The sequence below is a fragment of the Homo sapiens genome, chromosome 3 (assembly GCF_000001405.40).
Source record: "Homo sapiens chromosome 3, GRCh38.p14 Primary Assembly".
NCBI classification, from domain to species: domain Eukaryota; kingdom Metazoa; phylum Chordata; class Mammalia; order Primates; family Hominidae; genus Homo; species Homo sapiens.
Genome location: NC_000003.12, coordinates 191,741,032 through 191,759,951, shown reverse-complemented (window position 1 = coordinate 191,759,951; position 18,920 = coordinate 191,741,032). Strand labels below are relative to the sequence as shown.

The following is an 18,920-nucleotide window of genomic DNA, read 5'->3' as shown; positions in this document are numbered from 1 at the left end:
ATATGGACCAATGATAGGGACAAAAACGCCGGAGAACCTTACAGACCATTTTGAGGGCTCTATTTTTCATGTTGTTTGTTTTTGCTTTTTCATAACCTGAAATTTAATATTCTGCTTTTATCCTGAATCAAATGTAAGATTACATTGTGGTAATCAATTTCAGAAGTCACAGGTTTTCCTCATTGTTAATGAGATAATATAACAAGGTGCAATATACAAACATTAAACTGAGCCTGTTTTGTAGACAGCAGAAATTTATTTATCATGATTTTGGAGGCCAGAAGCCCAACATCAGGATGCCATATGGTCAGGTCTTCATGAGGACTTTCTTCCTGGCTTGCAGGTGACACCTTCATCCTGTATCCTCACATGGCAGAGAAGGTAAGGTCTTCAGTATCTCTAATTATGAGAACACTAAGGTCATCATGAGAGCCACGCCTGGCCAATGAAAGAAATTGTTTCAAGAAAAGGGTGACCAATTGTCTCAAATGTTTGGATATATCAAATTTTATGAAGATCAGTGCATTACTAACAGAGGTATTAGTAGTGACCATGACAAGAGCAGTTTTACTGTAAGGAAAATGAAAGGCTTACATAAATGGGTTCAAGAGAGAAAAAGAGGAGAGAGAGTGGAGATAGTGACTTTATTACATAGCAATTTTTGACCTTCAGGCTACTATAGTGCTAAGTGACCAGAAAGCACATTAAGATATGATAGAGTGAACGACTAAGATTTTACTACTTTGCTGTATGAAGAGAAACTAGTTAGATATTGTTGCCATCTATGACTTAAAATAGAACTCATTGTAATGCCCCCCACCTTGATTTGGAACTCATTCAACTTAAAATTAAAGGTCGTCTGTTCACTGTAAGCCATTGTGACACATTCTGGACTTACAGATATAAATCGAACAAATCAAATAACTGAAAAGAAAATAGATATTTAAAAATTAAAGCCGGCTAGAAACTTTTTAACATGGTTTACCTCAAGAGTTTACCAAGATACCATCCTGGACTCTAGAGTAGAAATATTTTGTTTTACTTGATATGTAATGTTAAAAGTCTTGAATATTTGGTTTTCCAGCTCATAAAGGATTAGAAACAGAATATTAAACTGAAGTTTCTAACAATAAAATACATAAAATATGATAATTTGATTGTAAAAGTGGCAAAATATTTGAAAAATTTAGTGGTAGATGTAACGAATCAAAGAGTAGGACAATTAGGCCCATTTGGAGGAGAGAAAAACTAATCTATATTCCTTAGAGTGGCATGAAATTAATACTGCCAAAGTCATCAGTTACTATGCCAACTCTCAAGGAATCAGAGATAAAATGGTATTTTCCATGTTAAATATTTTATGTTCAAATGTATTGGCCGGCATTTTTTTCTTCCTTCTTCTTGCATTCCTTTTTAATGTCACTTAGATAATTTAATTTTTTTTAATGTCACTTAGATAATTTAAAATTTTAATGTCACTTAGATAATTTAAAATACCTACAAAATGTTCGAAACTCATATTCCAACTGCCTTGAATACTTGAAGAATTAGTACATTGCTCTTAAAGATATTATTACCATTTATGATTTTAAAAAGAATTCTTTGTCATGTCCTCCCACCACACATGACACTCACATAATACAGATATTCACCTTTGCTTTTGCTTATCTTTTACTTTAAATTCCAACAAGAGGTAATTTGTTTTTACTGAAGTAAAATATATCAGTAGGAGGCATTTCTTGGAGTTTAGAATAAAGTGAGTCAAAGGGATATAACCTATTTTTCCCTTTTTTAGTTAATTTTTTCAAAACCTTCAATCTCCATACCCCTCTCAAGATGAGTATCCTGGAAATAGTCACTCCAATGAGGATTCCATGTGCAAGTAATTTGTTAAAGAAGCAATTCCAGAAACAAATGAGTAAGGGAGTGGGGCATGCAATACAAAGAAATGGTAGGATCCAGCAAGAATGCAATTTTAGTACCGACCTCAACTTCTTCCCACCCAGGATATCAGGAAAATAAATTATCCTCCAATGTTTTTCCCAGTTAAACACAAGGAAGCTAAACTTCTCTACTCTCACACCAGTTATTCTGTAGGTTGTGTGATAGAGACATTTGTTTCCAGCATTTAGAGCTTTCTGGTGTCCCGCAAAGAGGAAAGAAAGTACAAAGGCATGCAGGTGCTGGGGCAAGCATATACTAACCCGGTAAAGGGATCAGAGGGGGATGCGGCAGAGCACCAATGATGTCCACTAATGTAAACCACAGATCTATCTTTAGCTGCTGTCACTCTCACTGCTCCGAAATCTTATTGTTCATAAGATGCTGTCAGTTTTACCTCTGAAATGCCTTTCCTTTTTAAATTCCCACTGCCACTGCTATGGTTGGGGATCTTTTTTCCTCTAACATGGATAACTACAGCAGTCTATCATTTTTAGAAGTAGGTCTACCTGTTTCCAAATTTTTTTCTCTCCCTAATCACTGATCTATTTTGCGTAAACATAGATGAGTAATTTCCGTAAAGACTAGTTACACAGTTACTTCTCTCTATAAAACATAGTTTTGATTGTGGGATTTATTTCATCAAAACTTTTTTATTTCTCACCATAGCTGATAGAATGAAGCCCAACTGCCTTGTGAGTCCATGCAATGTTTTCCAAAATCTAGACTCAACTTACCTTTCTGGTGCAGTATTTCACCGTACCAACTGAGGCGCCTATATGTAAAGCATTCCCAACACTCTTCATTCTCTGAAGAAGCCTATGAACTATTACTATCTCCAAGCCTTCATTCATTCTATTTGGTCTCTTTGGTACATCCCCACTTCTACCTTCATCTCTGTGCATTGAAGTTTCACCTATTTTTCATGGTTCAAATGGAATACTACCTCCTCTGTGATCCTCTGGTGAATCTCCAGTCATGACTAACTACTTCTCTCCCCATTGTTTGTGTTCCGACGGTACATTACGTCTACACCTCTAATGATATATTCTTCTTTAATTTAGAGCAATGCTACATGTAAATCTATTCAAAAACTGTGAATTCTTTAAGACAGGTATTATGACTTATTTGCCATAAATCCCTAGCTCCTACAAAGCATTGCCTGACACATAGTGAACTCTAATAAATAATTGCAGAATTAAATAAATTAAATATGCTTCCAATAGTTTGTATATATGGATAATATATTCACTTGAAATAAATGATAGTAAGGGAAAAATAAATGTAGGAAACATATCAAGTACAGAAAAAGAGTATATATTTAAATTATGTATGTATATAGGCATTACTTCCTTTGGTTAAGATAAATGAATGCATGATTTATGATTATTTCATATGCATGTGCTCCTAACCCTAACATTATAATATAGATTGTCATATGTTGAATCAGATGTTTTCACAGAAGCAGTTTTCTATTTCTTTTTTTGGTTGGCAAATGTCCTGAAAAATCATTCTTTCATTTCGGTTTTTTGTTGGTAAAGTTCTCATCTTGGGTTATTTTACTCATGTGAGTAAAGCTTATTCCAGGAAAAATATGTATTAAGCAATCAGAAATGGAAAAAGAATCAATTCCATTTGTGAGCTATACACGACTGTTAAATGGGAAGATGTTTTAGCTTATATTTAATGCTCATTGTTTAAAACTGTGGAAACAACGTATTAAGTATATATTCACCAATTAATGTAAGTAGGCAGATACATAAACACATTGATACGTAGGTAAAATTCCTTATGGATACCATGAATGGTAGGATTTTAATGTCTTAGAATGTCTATTTAGATTGAATTTAGGAAAACAGAAAATTCCACATGCTCTGTAGCAAACGTCTAAGCTGTATTCCCTTAGACATCTCCCTTCACAAAGTCCTTCTACAGACAGTACTCCACAAGCTGATGGCTTTTTGTCTAAAGACATGAGAATATGCTCAGATAGAAGTCTGCTAGAGATTTAATGCCCACAGACTAGCCTACAGTCATTGAGGGCTAGAAGTTGGTGGGTAACAAAGTTTGAATATTTGTCCCTGCCAAAATCTCCTGTTGAATTGTAATCCCCAGTGCTGGAGGTGGGGCCTGGTGGGAAATGTTTTGGTCATGGGGGTGGATCCCTAATGACTTGGTGCTGTCTTCATGATAGCGAGTGAGTTCTTACAAGATCTGGTCGTTTAAACGTGTGTGGCACCTCCCCTCCCCTCTCTCTTGCTCCCACTCTGGCCATGTGATGTTTCTGCTCCTGCTTTGCCTGCCAGGATTGAAGCCTCCCTGAGCCTTCAACCAAAGCTGAGCAGATGCCAGCACCATGCTTCCTGTAAAGCCTGAAGAACTGTTAGCCAATTAAACCTCTTTTCTTTATAAATTATCCAGTGTCAGGTTCTTCATAGCAATGCAAGAATGGCCTAATAGAGTGGGCAAATGCCCTAGAATATTTGCCCTTCATTGGTAGAGTTCTGAGATATGTTTTTACATTCAATTTCTCGTGGGTCGCTGAGAAAATAAGCCTCGGTCAACCACCATGGTAACTGACGCATGACTGCATTCTTTGTTGTCTTTCCTTTGCTTTCCTGCCTTTCCTGACTAACCTCCACTTTCTTTTAGTGCTTCCTGGGATCACCTTGCACATAAGCTACTTGTACCCAAATTCTTGTCTCAAAGTCAGTTTTTTTTTAAATTTTTAAATTTTTTTTTTAATGGAGTCTCACTCTGTCGCCAGGCTGGAGTGCAGTGCATGGTGAGATCTTGGCTGACTTCAACCTCTGCCTCCTGGGTTCAAGTGATTCTCCTGCCTCAGCCTCCTGGGTAGCTGGGACTACAGGTGCACGCCACCATGCCCAGCTAATTTTTGTATTTTTAGTAGAGATGGGGTTTCACCATGTTGGCCAGGCTGGTCTCGATCTCTTGACCTTGTGATCCACCCACCTCAGCCTCCCAAAGTGCTGGGATTGCAGGCGTGAGCCACCACACCCAGCCCAAAGTCAGCTTTTTAGGGAATCAATACTTAGACAAGTTTCTATAAAATAATGCATTTTCTAATGTGGGAAACATATTTTTGGGTTTACTTTTTGGTCTCAAACGTGTTTTCCGTACATGTCATTTATTTTTGAAGAGTGACTATTTTACTCATTAAGTAAATTTCAGTGTGTATATAAACTATTATATTTTGTCAAACTGAGCTACAGACACACACACACACACACACACACACACACACACACACAAACATACCCACATACTCAAGTATACATTATGTACTTGAATTTAACTTTGAATTAAATTAGTAACTTGTTTTGTTGGTATTTATCTTTCTTTTCACCTTCAAGCTCATAGAGACAACTTTTTTATATATTTTATCATTTTCTGTTTCTTTCTTTTGGATGAAAACATCAAAACTCTCCTTATAATCACGTTTCTTGCAATTTGCTATTTTAGTTATCATTTGTAGCTTGAACAGCATATTTAAGTAGAAAATGTCTTATAATTTTTTGGCTTCTTGTTGTTCAATTTCATTAAACTCAAACTGTATTTTCTCTATGCTCTTTTGATATGCAGTACAATATCCTCACTGAATCAGGTATGTGACATCATTTTATCCAAATATAACTATTATTATTGAATTATCCTCTAATTCTAATGGTTAACCTTTCCCTAAATCTATTTATACAAAATTTGTAATTATGCAAAGAGAGAAAAATGTGGAGGAATATGAAGAAGTGGTTTGCATCTTAAATGTTTGAATGTCAGAATTGACTATTCAATAAAAGCAATTTCTAATTAAAAAAACTAAATAGATTGTTTTTCAGTTTCTTCTATTTCAGTTTAAACTTTTTTTCTGGTAATTTTAGAATTCCAGATTAAGAACACACTGAGCATTGACATAAAGCATTTACTTTTATATATATATATATATATATATATATATATATATATATATAGGAAAAAAACTTGCTGTCAAAATATGCATTCAGTTCTTTTCAGTCATTCTAAATCATTTCTACAGATCAACTCATTTTTATTTTTTATTTTTTCCTTGAAGTTTTGAAATAGTTCTAAAATGCAATTGGGAGATTCCTTGAAACACATGCTCTGACACGTCCATAACTATCCATGCATTCACTAGTTTCATTATACATATATTGAGCACATTTATATACAACTCTCTTTGGCCATATAAAGAAGAAGAATGAAATGTGATTCCTGCTCCTGCATACGTTATGATCCAGTAATGATAAACTGGCACATGAAAAGCTACTCTAAGTACTGCTGTGTACAAACAAAAGAACCTGAATATGCCAAAAAAGTAAAAAATATTTCTAACTGGGGAAGACATAAGAATTCACAAAAGAACAGGCACTTGTGATAGCACTGGAAAATCTACAGAATTTTATAAAGTAGATTGGGCAAGATGAGGGGTATTCTAAGGAGATAAAAGCAGAAGCCAAAACAGGGAGGTGAGAGGAGACAGCCAAAAGTGGAGTGAGTAATTTGTTGTGGTTTGGGCATGGTTATTTAAACGGAGAGAAGAAATGCACGACGAGATGTGGCCAAGTGTAGTGTGATATAACATTGGAGATCTCAGAGGACTTTAATTTTAGTATCAATCCATCAAAGTCAGACTACTTACTGAATAGTCCAAACACATTTCCAGAATGTGACTCAGTTGGAGTAATTCTTGAGATTGCTGGAATGATGTGAGATATTACTGATGGGGTGGATGAGATACAGGACCTGGCTGAGCTTGTTTGCTAGCTGAAATTAACCCTTCTATTTTTTGGAGAGAATATGGCAGGTCATAGATTTATCCAACGTCATAGAAGTTAGGTAAAATCACTTGTTACAAAATAATTACAACGTTCTAGTTGTTCTGTTTGCCTCCTTTGAGCAACCTTTGAGAAACATATATGTGTGTGTGTGTGTGTGTGTGTGTGTGTGTACACGTATGCACAGAGACAAACATGTATATATACACACACACACATATATATATAATATTGCCAAAATTTATACTATTCGTTACATTTAGATTGGGTCTACTTCATCTTACCATAAAAGTGATGTAAAGTGATTTATTCAATAAAGAGATAGGAAATATCATTTTTTAATTTTCAATTTTTAGAAAACAAAATCAAGAAAAAGATATCCAACAGTTCAGTTAGTTCTCAGCAGGTACTTGTTTGGTGCTAACTAGGGTCTTCAAGTGGGTCCTGCCCCAAATTCTAATATTAGAAAGTATGTCATGACACTCAACATGTTGACATCACTCTAGTTAACATCAAGGACTAAAGCATAATTTACTCTTATCACTTGAGACATCAACAAAGGTTAAGAAGTGAAGAAAAAATGGTTCATCAACTAGTATATCACATGTAATACTGTCATAATTATTTTCCAGTTGTTTTTCCCTACCAAATATGTGAAGGTGTGGGCACTTTGCCGAGATGATCTGATTTCAAATTTCACAAGCATATCCAAATTTTCAGTGGCTTAACACAATAACAGTGCATTTCTTACTCCAATAATATTCTAATGCTGGCAGGGAGAGCGTTGGGAAATCTCTTCTCTATCTTTATTTAGGGACTTAGACTCATTTCATTTATTAATTTTTTCCATCCCTTAGGTCTTTGAGTTCTCCACTGAATGCTTTCCAATAAGCCAGGAGATGAGGGATGAGAAAGAGTACACAAAGAATCTCATGAGAATAGTTTCAGGAACTTTAGGCCAGACCTAGAAGTGGATATATGACTTCCACATATGTTCCATTGGCCAGAACTCCATTGCATGGTCCCAACTAACTGCAGAGGAATCAGAAATGTAGTCTAGCTATGTGCAAAGGAGAGAAAAAGGTAATGGGATTTGGTGAACCCGTTGTATCATCTTTGTTTTAAATGAGACATGGCCACTGTCATAGAATTCTGAGATCTAGAATATTGGGACTAAGACACAATTTATACTGGTCAGAGAGTTGTGTTAAGTTATGGCTAGCCTTCTTTAAGTGGGATGCTGAAAACCCAGAAAGATAAATTCAGATTGTCTCCTGAGAAAATCTACCAGAGTGGAGACAAACATGCAAAAGCACAACATACACGATGAAAAGTTGAATAAACTGACGGGTCTTATCATTGGAAAAAAAAAAAGACTGGAAAGGCTAGGAGGTAGAAAAAGAATTGGATTCAATGTACTAGATTTTAAATATGAAATTATAAATAATGGATAAAAATTCCAGAAAAATAGATCTGATTAAATCGGAAAAAATAAAAAAAAAAAAGATTCACTAAGGTTAAACTACTACTTTGGAGCATATAGAGCTCTAGATCATTACATGTTGAAATTGGCCATCAGTTTATCAGGGTTCTGTGGGAAAGATCAGGCATTAGATGGAAAATTAGAGCAGCCAATCTCTCAAGTTTTTTATAGTCCTGAAATTCTAGATTATGTGGCTAAGTTTTAAACTGTGCTTGCTCACTGTGAATGTTAACCTAAGAACCTTGCTGCGACTATCTTCTGTTCCCTCTTAAATCTGAAAAATATTTAAATGCATATGATCCCCTATCTTATGCCATTTATTTAACCTCACCATAAAAAGTTCCAATTTTATTTGAAATGATTTAATTTTTAAATGTCAGCCAAATTATTGACCTTTCTTTAATTTTGTATCTGGAATAAAAGAAGAAAGAATTTGGCTTCCTATAATAATCTTTCTCTGTTTCATTTTGAGAGGAAATTTATCAGTGGGCTGGTGGTCAGTAGTCTGCAGCTTTATATTTAGTGTCTACAGTATTATGGGAGAGGCTGAGGAACCCAGAATGACCTGGCAATGTTGGGGGTGATCAGCTGTTTCAGTGAAGTTCTCCTTAATCCAGTAGCTGTCTCTAAAAATCTTTTTAGTGGTTTTACTTTTCAAGGTTTGATTCTGTATCCCAAAATTTTATATTTTGGAAAGTATCTGAGAAACATGGTTTTTTTTTCTTCCAAGGTATTGCATTATCTTTGTGAAATTGAATATTGATCCATTTCGCTTAGTTTTGCACTCAGTGACAATTCTGAGCCCTCAGACCTAGTCTGAAGACACAGCACATAATCCCACGTTTTCTTAATTAACTCTCTCAGTAGACTTAGCTTTTGCAATTAACATAACTTTTCTGCAATAAAATATTGAGATTGTGTTGCCATATGTGCCATTTGCAAGCAAACTTCTGTGAACCAAATGGCTTCTCAGCCCGCAAATTGTGATGAGTTGGACTTTTAAACTTTTACTCAATCATTAGAAATTTTTAGACTATGACTGGTTTTCTAATTACAATTAAATATCTTTAGTCCTCTTTAAGAACTTAAAGTCCTCAAAATCAGAACAAACTGGACTGTCCTGGGGATAGTTTAAGATTAAATCTTAGTACTACTTTTTGCATTAATGAGCAGAATGCTGTGTTATAAGCTTGTAAGGCACAAGGAGGAAAAATTGCTGAATTTTACATTGTAATTGTGGTTGAGTTGTGATATTTTTCTGAATTTTATATAACCACGAAAGTATTGATGTGAAGTGACCTTGGAGGAAAGTTCCATGTACCTATTGTAGAAAGTCCTCCAACCACACACTCTATGAAGTAATTTTTCAGTCTATATTCGTAACTCTAAAAGCAGCAATCTCACAACTTCCAAGGTAGTTCATTATCTTCATTGCCATGCAACACAACTAATATTATAGAAGATTATTCTGTATATTAAACCAAATCCTACTTATAATTTTGTATACAACCTAATAGATTTCTTAGGAATTAGAAGGTTGTAATCAATGTAGAATATAACATTTTATTTGAAATGGTTACTATATTATGAATTATGACTACCCTATTTAATTTTTTTGCAGAAATTGAACTTGAAAACATATTTACAGCCTAGATGTTGGGGTTGGACCTTCTGTAAACTCTAAAGGCAGTTTATAAATTAAATGCACGAGTGATGTGACTCTGCTATATTTATGCTGAGGAATTAAATAGCAAAATCTAGGTATGACTCTCTATGTAAGATGGTTTATTTTTCTTTTATTTTTGAATACATCTTCTTTATTACTTTACAAATTTAATGTTCTTTCTCTGTCTCTCTCTTTCATCCTACTTCTTTCCTTTCTTCTTTCCATTCTTCCTTCTTCCTTTTTCTTTCTTTTCTTTTTTCTATGTTTGACTGAACTAATAAGAACCAGAAATTTTGCCTCTGATTTACTCTACATTCTGAATCAATAAATGTGTGGATCAATTACACGAATTTCATGAAAGTTCTGAACATCAGCTTTATAGCTAGAGTCCTTTTCATTTTTGTTCTTTTCACTTTTGTCCCAAGATAGTTTCTCTTTTTACCCAAATATGGTAGTTTAGCAACTCATATACAAAGCTTTTATTTGAAGATCACCAACTTATTCTGAATTCCCAGTAAGAGCAGATCCCCAATTACTCTACACATCCCTAATGGAAAGTCACTTGCTAGGAGGCCTTTCGAGCTGAACATTCCCAGAATGTTAAGACTTATGTTTCTTGGACACTGGGCACTTCTCACTTTCAGTTCAGAATTAACTTTTATAACCGGGTTAGATTATTGCTTGACCACCTAACTCAAATAAGTACTAATTTTTTGAGGTACTAAATGTTGTGTTTGACCTTTGTGATGTAAATCATGAATTTATAGTTTATAAAGCTATTTGAAATATGTGGCGACTCAATTCATCTCAAATCATTTGAATATTTGTAATTCTTAGTAAATTTCAAAAGTTAACGACTAACCATCATGTATCTCCTGCAATATGAATATTACATCTTTTTGGATGAAAGGGAAATGACTAAATATGTAAGATTTCTTATAGAAAACAAAAATCTCTTATTATAAACTTGTTGACTTTTATTTTTTTAAAGTATTTTATATATAAAACTCCAGGCAAAAATGTTGACGTTGGTGCCAATTCGATAATGTTTAATCTGTGTCTTTTTTGACAGTATTTCACTGATGTATTTATATAAAGTATCTGCTATAACCTTGTATAGTACATTACATGATAATCATATTTGAACCTTCCTTCTGGGGACACTATCTCTCAAGACGTTTTATGCACCATGTCAACAAGGTAAGGCACGGACATTTCATATTTATCCTGAAGAGTGATACTTCCAATTCTGTTCATTCTTCTACTTGAGAATTTATTATAGCACACATGGAACTTTTGATTGTCATCAAACATCTTGCAAAATAATTGATGTGAAAGTTACAGAAAAGGACACAGAAAAAGATGGATCAATGTGACTGATAAAGAGGGACTATGAAAATAACACCTGTCAAAATTCCCAAGATTCTCTTTAATAAAAAAATTGCAGCTAGTTAAATATGTTTTTAGAGCTCATTTTACCACTCTTGCAAAAAGAAATAGTCTTAAAATAAAGACAAGATATTATTAAAATTCTAAGCCCAGAATCCAATCCTAAGGCATGTTGATCCATTAGTAGCTTAAATTATGTAATACTCTTTTTAGCTGCAAATGCTACAAATAGTGGACACTTAATATCCCTCAGGAAGATGGGTCTCAGAAGTAAAATGATATATTTACATCCAAATACCAGGACCAAGGTAGGTCACTATTCAAGAATATTCCTGAGCAAAAAGATGTAGGTATAGGAATACCTGTCAACTTTTAAGTTTTTAATTGTATGTAAGATCTTCTTTATGATTTATCAAATCTATCAAAGATTAAGTGGCTCTCCCATCTGAAATGCAATTTAAAACTGCTGAAAGTCTTTCCATTTTGACAAATAAGCACAGGCATTCTTAAGATCAAAAATGTATCATTCATAATAATATCAATGTTCTTTTTATAGGTTTTATAAAAAATGTTTTGTAACTTTTATTATCAAATTGATTCTTTAGCATTTGTTATTAGTAAAAGTTAGGCAGAATTATATGAGAATTCCATATATTCATAAGCCAGATCATAAATTATCACCTCCTGGCCAATCTTGCTTTATCACTAGCCCATTTTTCAACTGCTCCATTCACAATGGCCTCTCACTCTGCCAATTTGATTATTTTGAAGTAAGTCCCTTCAGGTGGTCTTTTACTTTTGAATCCTTGGTGGTGGTGGTTTTATATGTTTTTGCTTTTGATTTTTTGGTAAAGGACATGTTGCTATCCTTTAACAAAGGGCATCACATAAATAAGTCTGATCACTATGGATTGTTAAAATCCATAGTTCTTAGGTGTGGAAATGAAGAAAAGAACAGCCTTACAGTTGTCCCACAATAGTTTAGCACCCGTCCTGGATTAAGGCATAGACCACAAATCTACAACCATTTGATCTTCAACAAACCTGACAAAAACAAGCAATGGGGAAAGGATTCCCTATTTAATAAGTGGTGCTGGGAAAGCTGGCTATCCATATGCATAAAATTGAAACTGGACCCCTTCCTTACACCTTATACAAAAACTACCCCAAGATGGATTAAAGACTTAAATGTAAAACCCAAAACTATAAAAACCCTATAAGAAAATCTAGGCAATACCATTCGGGACATAGGCACAGGCAAAGACTTAATGACAAAAACATCAAAAGCAATTGCAACAAAAGCAAAAATTAATGAATGAGACCGATTTAAACTAAAGAGCTTCGTACGCAAAAGCAACTATCATCAGAGTGAGCAGACAACTTAAGGAATGGGAGAAAATCTTTGCAATCTATCCATCTGACAAAAGTTTAATATCCAGAATCTACAAAAATGTAAACAAATTTACAAGGAAATAAATGACATAAAAAAGTGGGCAAAGGACCTGAACAGAAAAGAAGACATATATACAGCCAAAAAACATGAAAAAAAACCTCAACATCACAGGTCATTAGAGAAATGCAAATCAAATCTACAATGAGATGCCATCTCATGCCAGTCAGGATGGCCATTATTAAAAAAGTCAAGAAACAACAGATGCCGTTGAGGCTATAGAGAGGTAGGAATGCTTTTTCACTGTTGGTGGGAATGTAAATTAGTTACACCATTGTGAAAGACAGTGTGGTGATTCCTTAGACCTGGAACCAGAAATACCATTTGACCCAGCAATTCCATTACTGGATATATGCCCAAAGGAACATATATTATTCTATTATAAAGATAGATGCATGCGTATATTCATTGCAGCACTGTTCACGATAGCAAAGATATGGAATCAACTCAAATGCCCATCAATGACAGACCAGATAAAGAAAATGTTGTATATATACACCATTAAATACTGTGCAGCCATATAAAGGAATATCATGTCCTTTACATGAATGGAGATGAAAGCCATTATTTTCAGCAAACTAATGCAGGAACAAAAAATCAAACACTGTATGTTCTCACTCCTGAGTGGATGCTGAACAATGAGAACACATGGACACAGGGAGGGGAGCAACACACACTGGGCCTGAAGGGGAGGGGAGGGAGAAAATCAGGATGAATATCTAATGCATGTGGGGCTTAATCCCTAGGTGATGGGTTAATAGGTGCAGCAAACCACCATGGCACACATTTATCTATGTAACAAACCTGCACATCCTGCACATGTATCCTGGAACTTAATAAAATAAAAAGTAGTCTTCAAAATAGCCTCCTGCTCAGTGAAGAAGTTAATAAACATATGGTGGATGCTAGACATCATCCTCAAACTTGGAAGCCAAATTCATCAACAAATTAATCAGGAGACTTGAATGCTAGGTATAATGAGAGTCAAAATAGTGCAAGTTTAAAGTTTAAGATATTCTTAGAAAAGTGACTAAAAGTCCCTAAAACCTCCCCACTTAATTATAAGAAAATGCAGGGAAATTACAATTAAGAAGTGAATCATGTTCTATTGGCAGTAATTCTGTAGAGAAACTGGCTCATGCCGCAGTTAAGAATTAATGAACCTAGTGGGAATCATAGACTATTGAATTCTAATCTTTGGGTTTGGCTAACCTGCTGCTTGATCTCAAGTCAGGGATGGAGCCTACCTGTTCTTCAGTCTTCTCTGGAAAAAGAATGATGATGATTTTATATTTACATACACACAAAAATGAATTGTGTGAGTACTCTTGGTAATAATTGGTATTATTCTTTACAAATCACAAAATATATTTATTTTATCTTCAGAAATAGCACAGAATAAGTCATACTTATTCCCCTTTGTGTCTAAGGTAACTGAGGCTGAGAGATTATATAATTTTCACAATGTCAACAAGCACAATGGTTGCAGAGCCAGTGCCTTGAATTCATATCTTCTGATCCCAGTTCCAGGTTTAGGATAACACGCCACTGCTGTCTCTACTTCGGTGAGAGCAAAGGATGATTTTTACTTCCACCACTGCCCCCTTCAACCCATTTTTGTTCAGTCCCAGAAGACCAACTTGTTAGGAATTTGAAAGTTTTACTGTGTCAGCCACACGTGCAAGGAAAATCACTCCAATAAAATGAGAAATTCTTCTCTAGAAGGTAAAAATAGAATCCCAGCAGCAGGGCAACTACAAAGATAAAGAAAAAATAGCCTTTAGGCTAAAGGCAGGTTGGTAAGTTAAGGTGGCATCTAACAAACACATTGGGATTTCCTGGGACTTGAGTGGGACTGCTTACTGAAGCATTTAATAGAACAGAGTGCTAGATTGCTTAGCCCAGATTACAGATAAAAAAGATTTGAAAAGACCATTACATAAGCCTAAATCTTCATTCACCAAAAAAAAAAAAAAAAAAAAGAGAGAAGAAAAGAAAAGAAAAGTCTCCTTAAAATGTATAAAATCCTAGTCTATAAAGAATGCCCAGTTTCTAGGTAAGGGATAAAGGTTGGCAGTTTGCAAAAAGAAAAATGTTAACATAACCATTTCTCCTATTCTATTCTGTCTCTCCTTATCTAGCCAAGAAAACTCCAGGGTGCTGTGTTCAGCATTTGTATATACAGACAAAACATTCTGTTTATGCAGATAAGATAAAGGACAAGGCACATGAAAGTTTGAGAGACAATGATTACTGAAGAGAAAATGTTGAACTAAGATTCCTATTCTAGCACTGGTTCTAGGAATTCTTTCTTTACTAACTGTGTGACTTTGAATTATTCAATGTGAATAATAAAACTTGCTTAGTAGTTTAGGTGTATTAGACACTAAAGGGATTAAACACTATGAATAATCATCATCAGAAAGATGTTATAATTTAATAAGAAAATTAAGGCACGTATACAAATGAGTTTATCACAGGATAAGGTAAGCGCACTATGAGAAGTACTAACAGGTGGTGGGGCAAGATGGCAGAATAGAAAGCTCCCCCAATCCTCCCACTCACTCCGACCCCAAGGACACCAAATCAACATCTACACAGAATAAAGACCATCATAAGAATCAAAAATAAGGTGAGGAATCATAGTACCTGGTTTTAACTTCATATCACTGAAAGAAGCGCCGAAGAGATAGAAAAAAAATCCTGGATCACGGATGCCACCCGTCCTCCATCCAAGGCATTAGCAGCTGTGGGGAGTGCCTCTGGGCACTGAGGGAGGGAGAATGCAGCAATTGTGAGGCATTGAACTCAGTGCTGTCCTGTTAGAACAGAGAGGAAAACTGGCCCAAATTTAGCTGTCACCCACCCATGCCCACAAAGGGAGCATTTAAACTAGCCCTAGCCAGAGGGGAATTACCAATCCTAGTGGTCCAAACTTGAGAGCCTTCAAACCTCACCTCCATTGCTGCAAGCACTCTGTGTCTCCAAGTAAACTTGAAAGGCAATCTGTCATAGGGACTGCAACTCTTAGGTGAGTCCTGTGAGAAGGCATTTTAAATGGTCCATTTTCAGGCATGATAAATCTAAGCACTGGGAGCCAGCCTGCAGATGTAACAAGCCACACAGCTCATTCTTCTAGAAAGCCATGATAAATGAACGTAATTTAGAGGAGGGGTCAGCCCATAAAAGGGAAGAAAGTTTAGTTATTGGGAAGTCGAAACTTAAGTGGGAAAAGGGACTGGGGTATGACCTTATAAGGGGAATAATTAAGCTTAGGCAACGTCTGGGAAGATTGTAACCCCATAATACTCGACCAATGAGGAACTGGGGGAAGGATTTGCATGTTAGGAGATAAATTACCTGCTGTAGCTGTTACAGGTGTGCCTGTCAGACACCAGATCTTGCAAGACCGCTATTAAAAGTCTCACTTTTGCTGTTCTTTGTATCTCTGAGTCCATTCTTTGGGTTTGGATGAGTGAACATGTTTCTCACAAATCTGAGGTCCCGTTCAGGATCTCTGTGCCTGCATGGAGTGGGACTCTGGCTGAGAGGGGAGACACATTCCACCCGATTTAGGTGGCCTGCTCTGTCTGGGCATCCCGGCTCCCCGCGGAGGCCATAGACAAACCGGAGACTGTTATTCAGGAGGCAATAGAGGCAACAAAGGGAAAAAAGCAGGCCCTGTGGGAACAAGGCAACCTCGTGCATGAGCTGAGGAAGGAAAAGTGGACTATAAGTACTTCCTTAATAGTTGGGCATTTTTGCAGGTTGAGTGTGTGTGACTGAGACGTATCCAAGATACAAAGTGAATGCGGAGTCCCAATTCGCAGTTCTGTTCTCCCGTGGGGGAAACAGCTGGAGATGTATGAAGTGATTATCGGGGTGTGCAAGAAACCTCCAGTGGGGGGTGGGGGAGTACACAGGGAAAAGCTCAGACACAGAGACTGACTGACAATGGGAAACAGGAATTCTAGGCCTAGGGGACAAAGGGAAGAGGGAGCTAAAGAGAATCCTTCAGACATTCCCCTGGATAGTCCTTTCGGGAGAATGTTGCAGGTTTGGAGGGACAACCCTCAAACCAGGGACAAGGAAAAGCAAAAGATGATGATGTATTGCTGTTTTATCTGGCCCAAAAACCCATTCGTCAGCCTTCAGTCTTTTGGCCTAAGTTTGGCTTAGATGAGGATTGGGTGTACCAAGCTTTAATTATCTATGTGAATGATAAAATCCCATCCTCACCAGAAGATACAGGTTATGCTCTCTGCTGGATCAAGGAAGTAGACCCCCTGTTCCCCCTCAAAGAAGGAGAAAAAAAGCCTAGCAAAGAGCACTCACCCAGTGAAAAGCCTTGGGATCCCTCCATCATGCTCACCCCCTACCTACATCTCACAAAATAGGAGACAAGAAGATAAAGGAGCAACAGGAGGGTTAGAGGAAGAAAGACCTGGAGAACAAAAACTCCTTCAGATCCTCATCCAAATTTAAGAAAATAATTAGAACAGTATAAGAGGGATATTGAGAACTTCTCTATCCCTTCTACACAGCAGGCATCTAGCATGCTCCTACTTAGGGCAGTTCCCATGGAACAAGGAGAAATTGGCTTTGTAAACAGTCCTCTTACAAGTACCGAAGTTAGGAATTTCAAAGAGGAAATGAGACCACTCTTAGAAGATCCCCTCAGTTTAGTAAACCAGCTGGACCAATTCCTAGGACCAAATTTTTACACCTGGGCTAAGATAATGTCTATCATAAATATCCTGTTCATAGGAGAAGAAAGGGGAGTGATTAGGAGAGTGGCCATGACCATATGGGAGAGGCAACACCCTCCAAGGAAAGGAGTCTTTCCAGCTGAATAAAAATTTCCAAATGTCGATCCTGAATGGGATAATAATGATCCCAGGGACTGGGCCCAAATGCAGGACCTCAGGGAACTAATAATTAAAGGGATCAAAGAGTCCACTCCTAGGACACAAAATGTCTCAGAGGCATTCTAGATTCAACAAGAAAAAGAGGAAACTCCCTCTGCATTCCTGCAGAGGCTCAGAGATCAGATGAGAAAATACTCTGGATTAGATCTGAAGGACCCAGTAGGGCAAGGCCTTTTGAAGGTTAACTTTTAACCAAGAGCTGGTCTTGCAGGCCAGGGAGTGCAGCTGCAGGCATGGGGGTGGCTGGAGCCACAGAGCCAGAACAGACAGCTGAGATAAAGGTGGACAGTGTGAGAGAGCTAGTATGAGTAAACCCCTAATAGGAGACCTAATGTCTCTATTACACAAAGGGAGTCACTGGGGACCCCAGGCTCTGTGTAATGCAATACTTAGGAATTTATACCCTCACTAAAAAAGTATGTGAAAGTTGTTTTAACTTGTCAAAGGATAAACAAAAAGGTGATTAGAAAACAGACCACAGGAGGAAGACCTCCTGGACTAAGACCATTTCAAACCATTCAAGTAGATTTCACAGAAATGCCCAAAGTAGAAGAGCCTTTCTCCTTCCAATAGCCACCACCAGAAATGTGGTCAAAAAATATTAAAACAGATTGTACCTGGATTTGGCCAGATGAACTTTTTTTTTTGAGATGGAGTTTTACTCTTGTTGGCCGGGCTGGAGTGCAATGGTGTGATCTCAGCTCACTGCAACCTCTGCCTCCCAGGTTCAAGCAATTATCCTGCCTCAGCCTCCTGAGTAGCTGAGATTACAGGCATGCACCAGCACACCTGGCAAATTTTCTATTTTTTTTTTTTTTTTTTTTAGTAGAGACAGGGTTTCTCCATATTGGTCAGGCTGGTCTCGAACTCCCAACCTCAGGTGATCTGTCTGCCTCACTGGGATTACAGGCGTGAGCCACCATGCTCAGCCCAGAAAATGTTGATTCAGACAATAGGAGCCACTTTACCTCAAGGGTGTTAAGGGGAATTATGGAAGGTTTACAAATTAGATGGAAATATCCCACCCCTTGGCATCCCCCTTTCTCTGGAAAGGTAGAAAGAGTGAATCAAACTCTAAAAAACATATCTCCAAACTAATCTTAGAAACTAAAATGCCTTGGACTGAATGCCTCCCAATAGCACTCCTTAGGATTAAGACAGCCCCACGAGAAGACTTGGGATTGTCCCCATATGAGTTATTATATGGGCTCCTGTATTTGGGCAGAGCTACAGATCTCCCTACTATAAACCA

The 18,920-nt window shown here is 36.7% G+C and overlaps 2 long non-coding RNA genes across 3 annotated transcripts; one reads left to right on the top strand and one right to left on the bottom strand.

Moving 5' to 3' along the window:
• Positions 1-236: 236 nt before the first annotated feature.
• Positions 237-6,884, bottom strand: LOC124909473 (uncharacterized). Of its 2 annotated transcripts, none has more exons than XR_007096216.1 (2): positions 6,617-6,884; positions 237-438 (listed from the first exon to the last, which is right to left on the bottom strand). It is a non-coding gene; the product is annotated as an uncharacterized LOC124909473 (long non-coding RNA). The 2 variants fall into 2 exon arrangements; XR_007096217.1 differs by having other exon boundaries at positions 237-399.
• Positions 6,885-7,197: 313 nt separating this feature from the next.
• LOC105374275 (uncharacterized) lies at positions 7,198-11,357 on the top strand. The gene is made up of 3 exons (XR_002959702.2): positions 7,198-7,835; positions 9,857-9,996; positions 10,974-11,357. It is a non-coding gene; the product is annotated as an uncharacterized LOC105374275 (long non-coding RNA).
• The last annotated feature ends 7,563 nt before the right edge of the window (positions 11,358-18,920 follow it).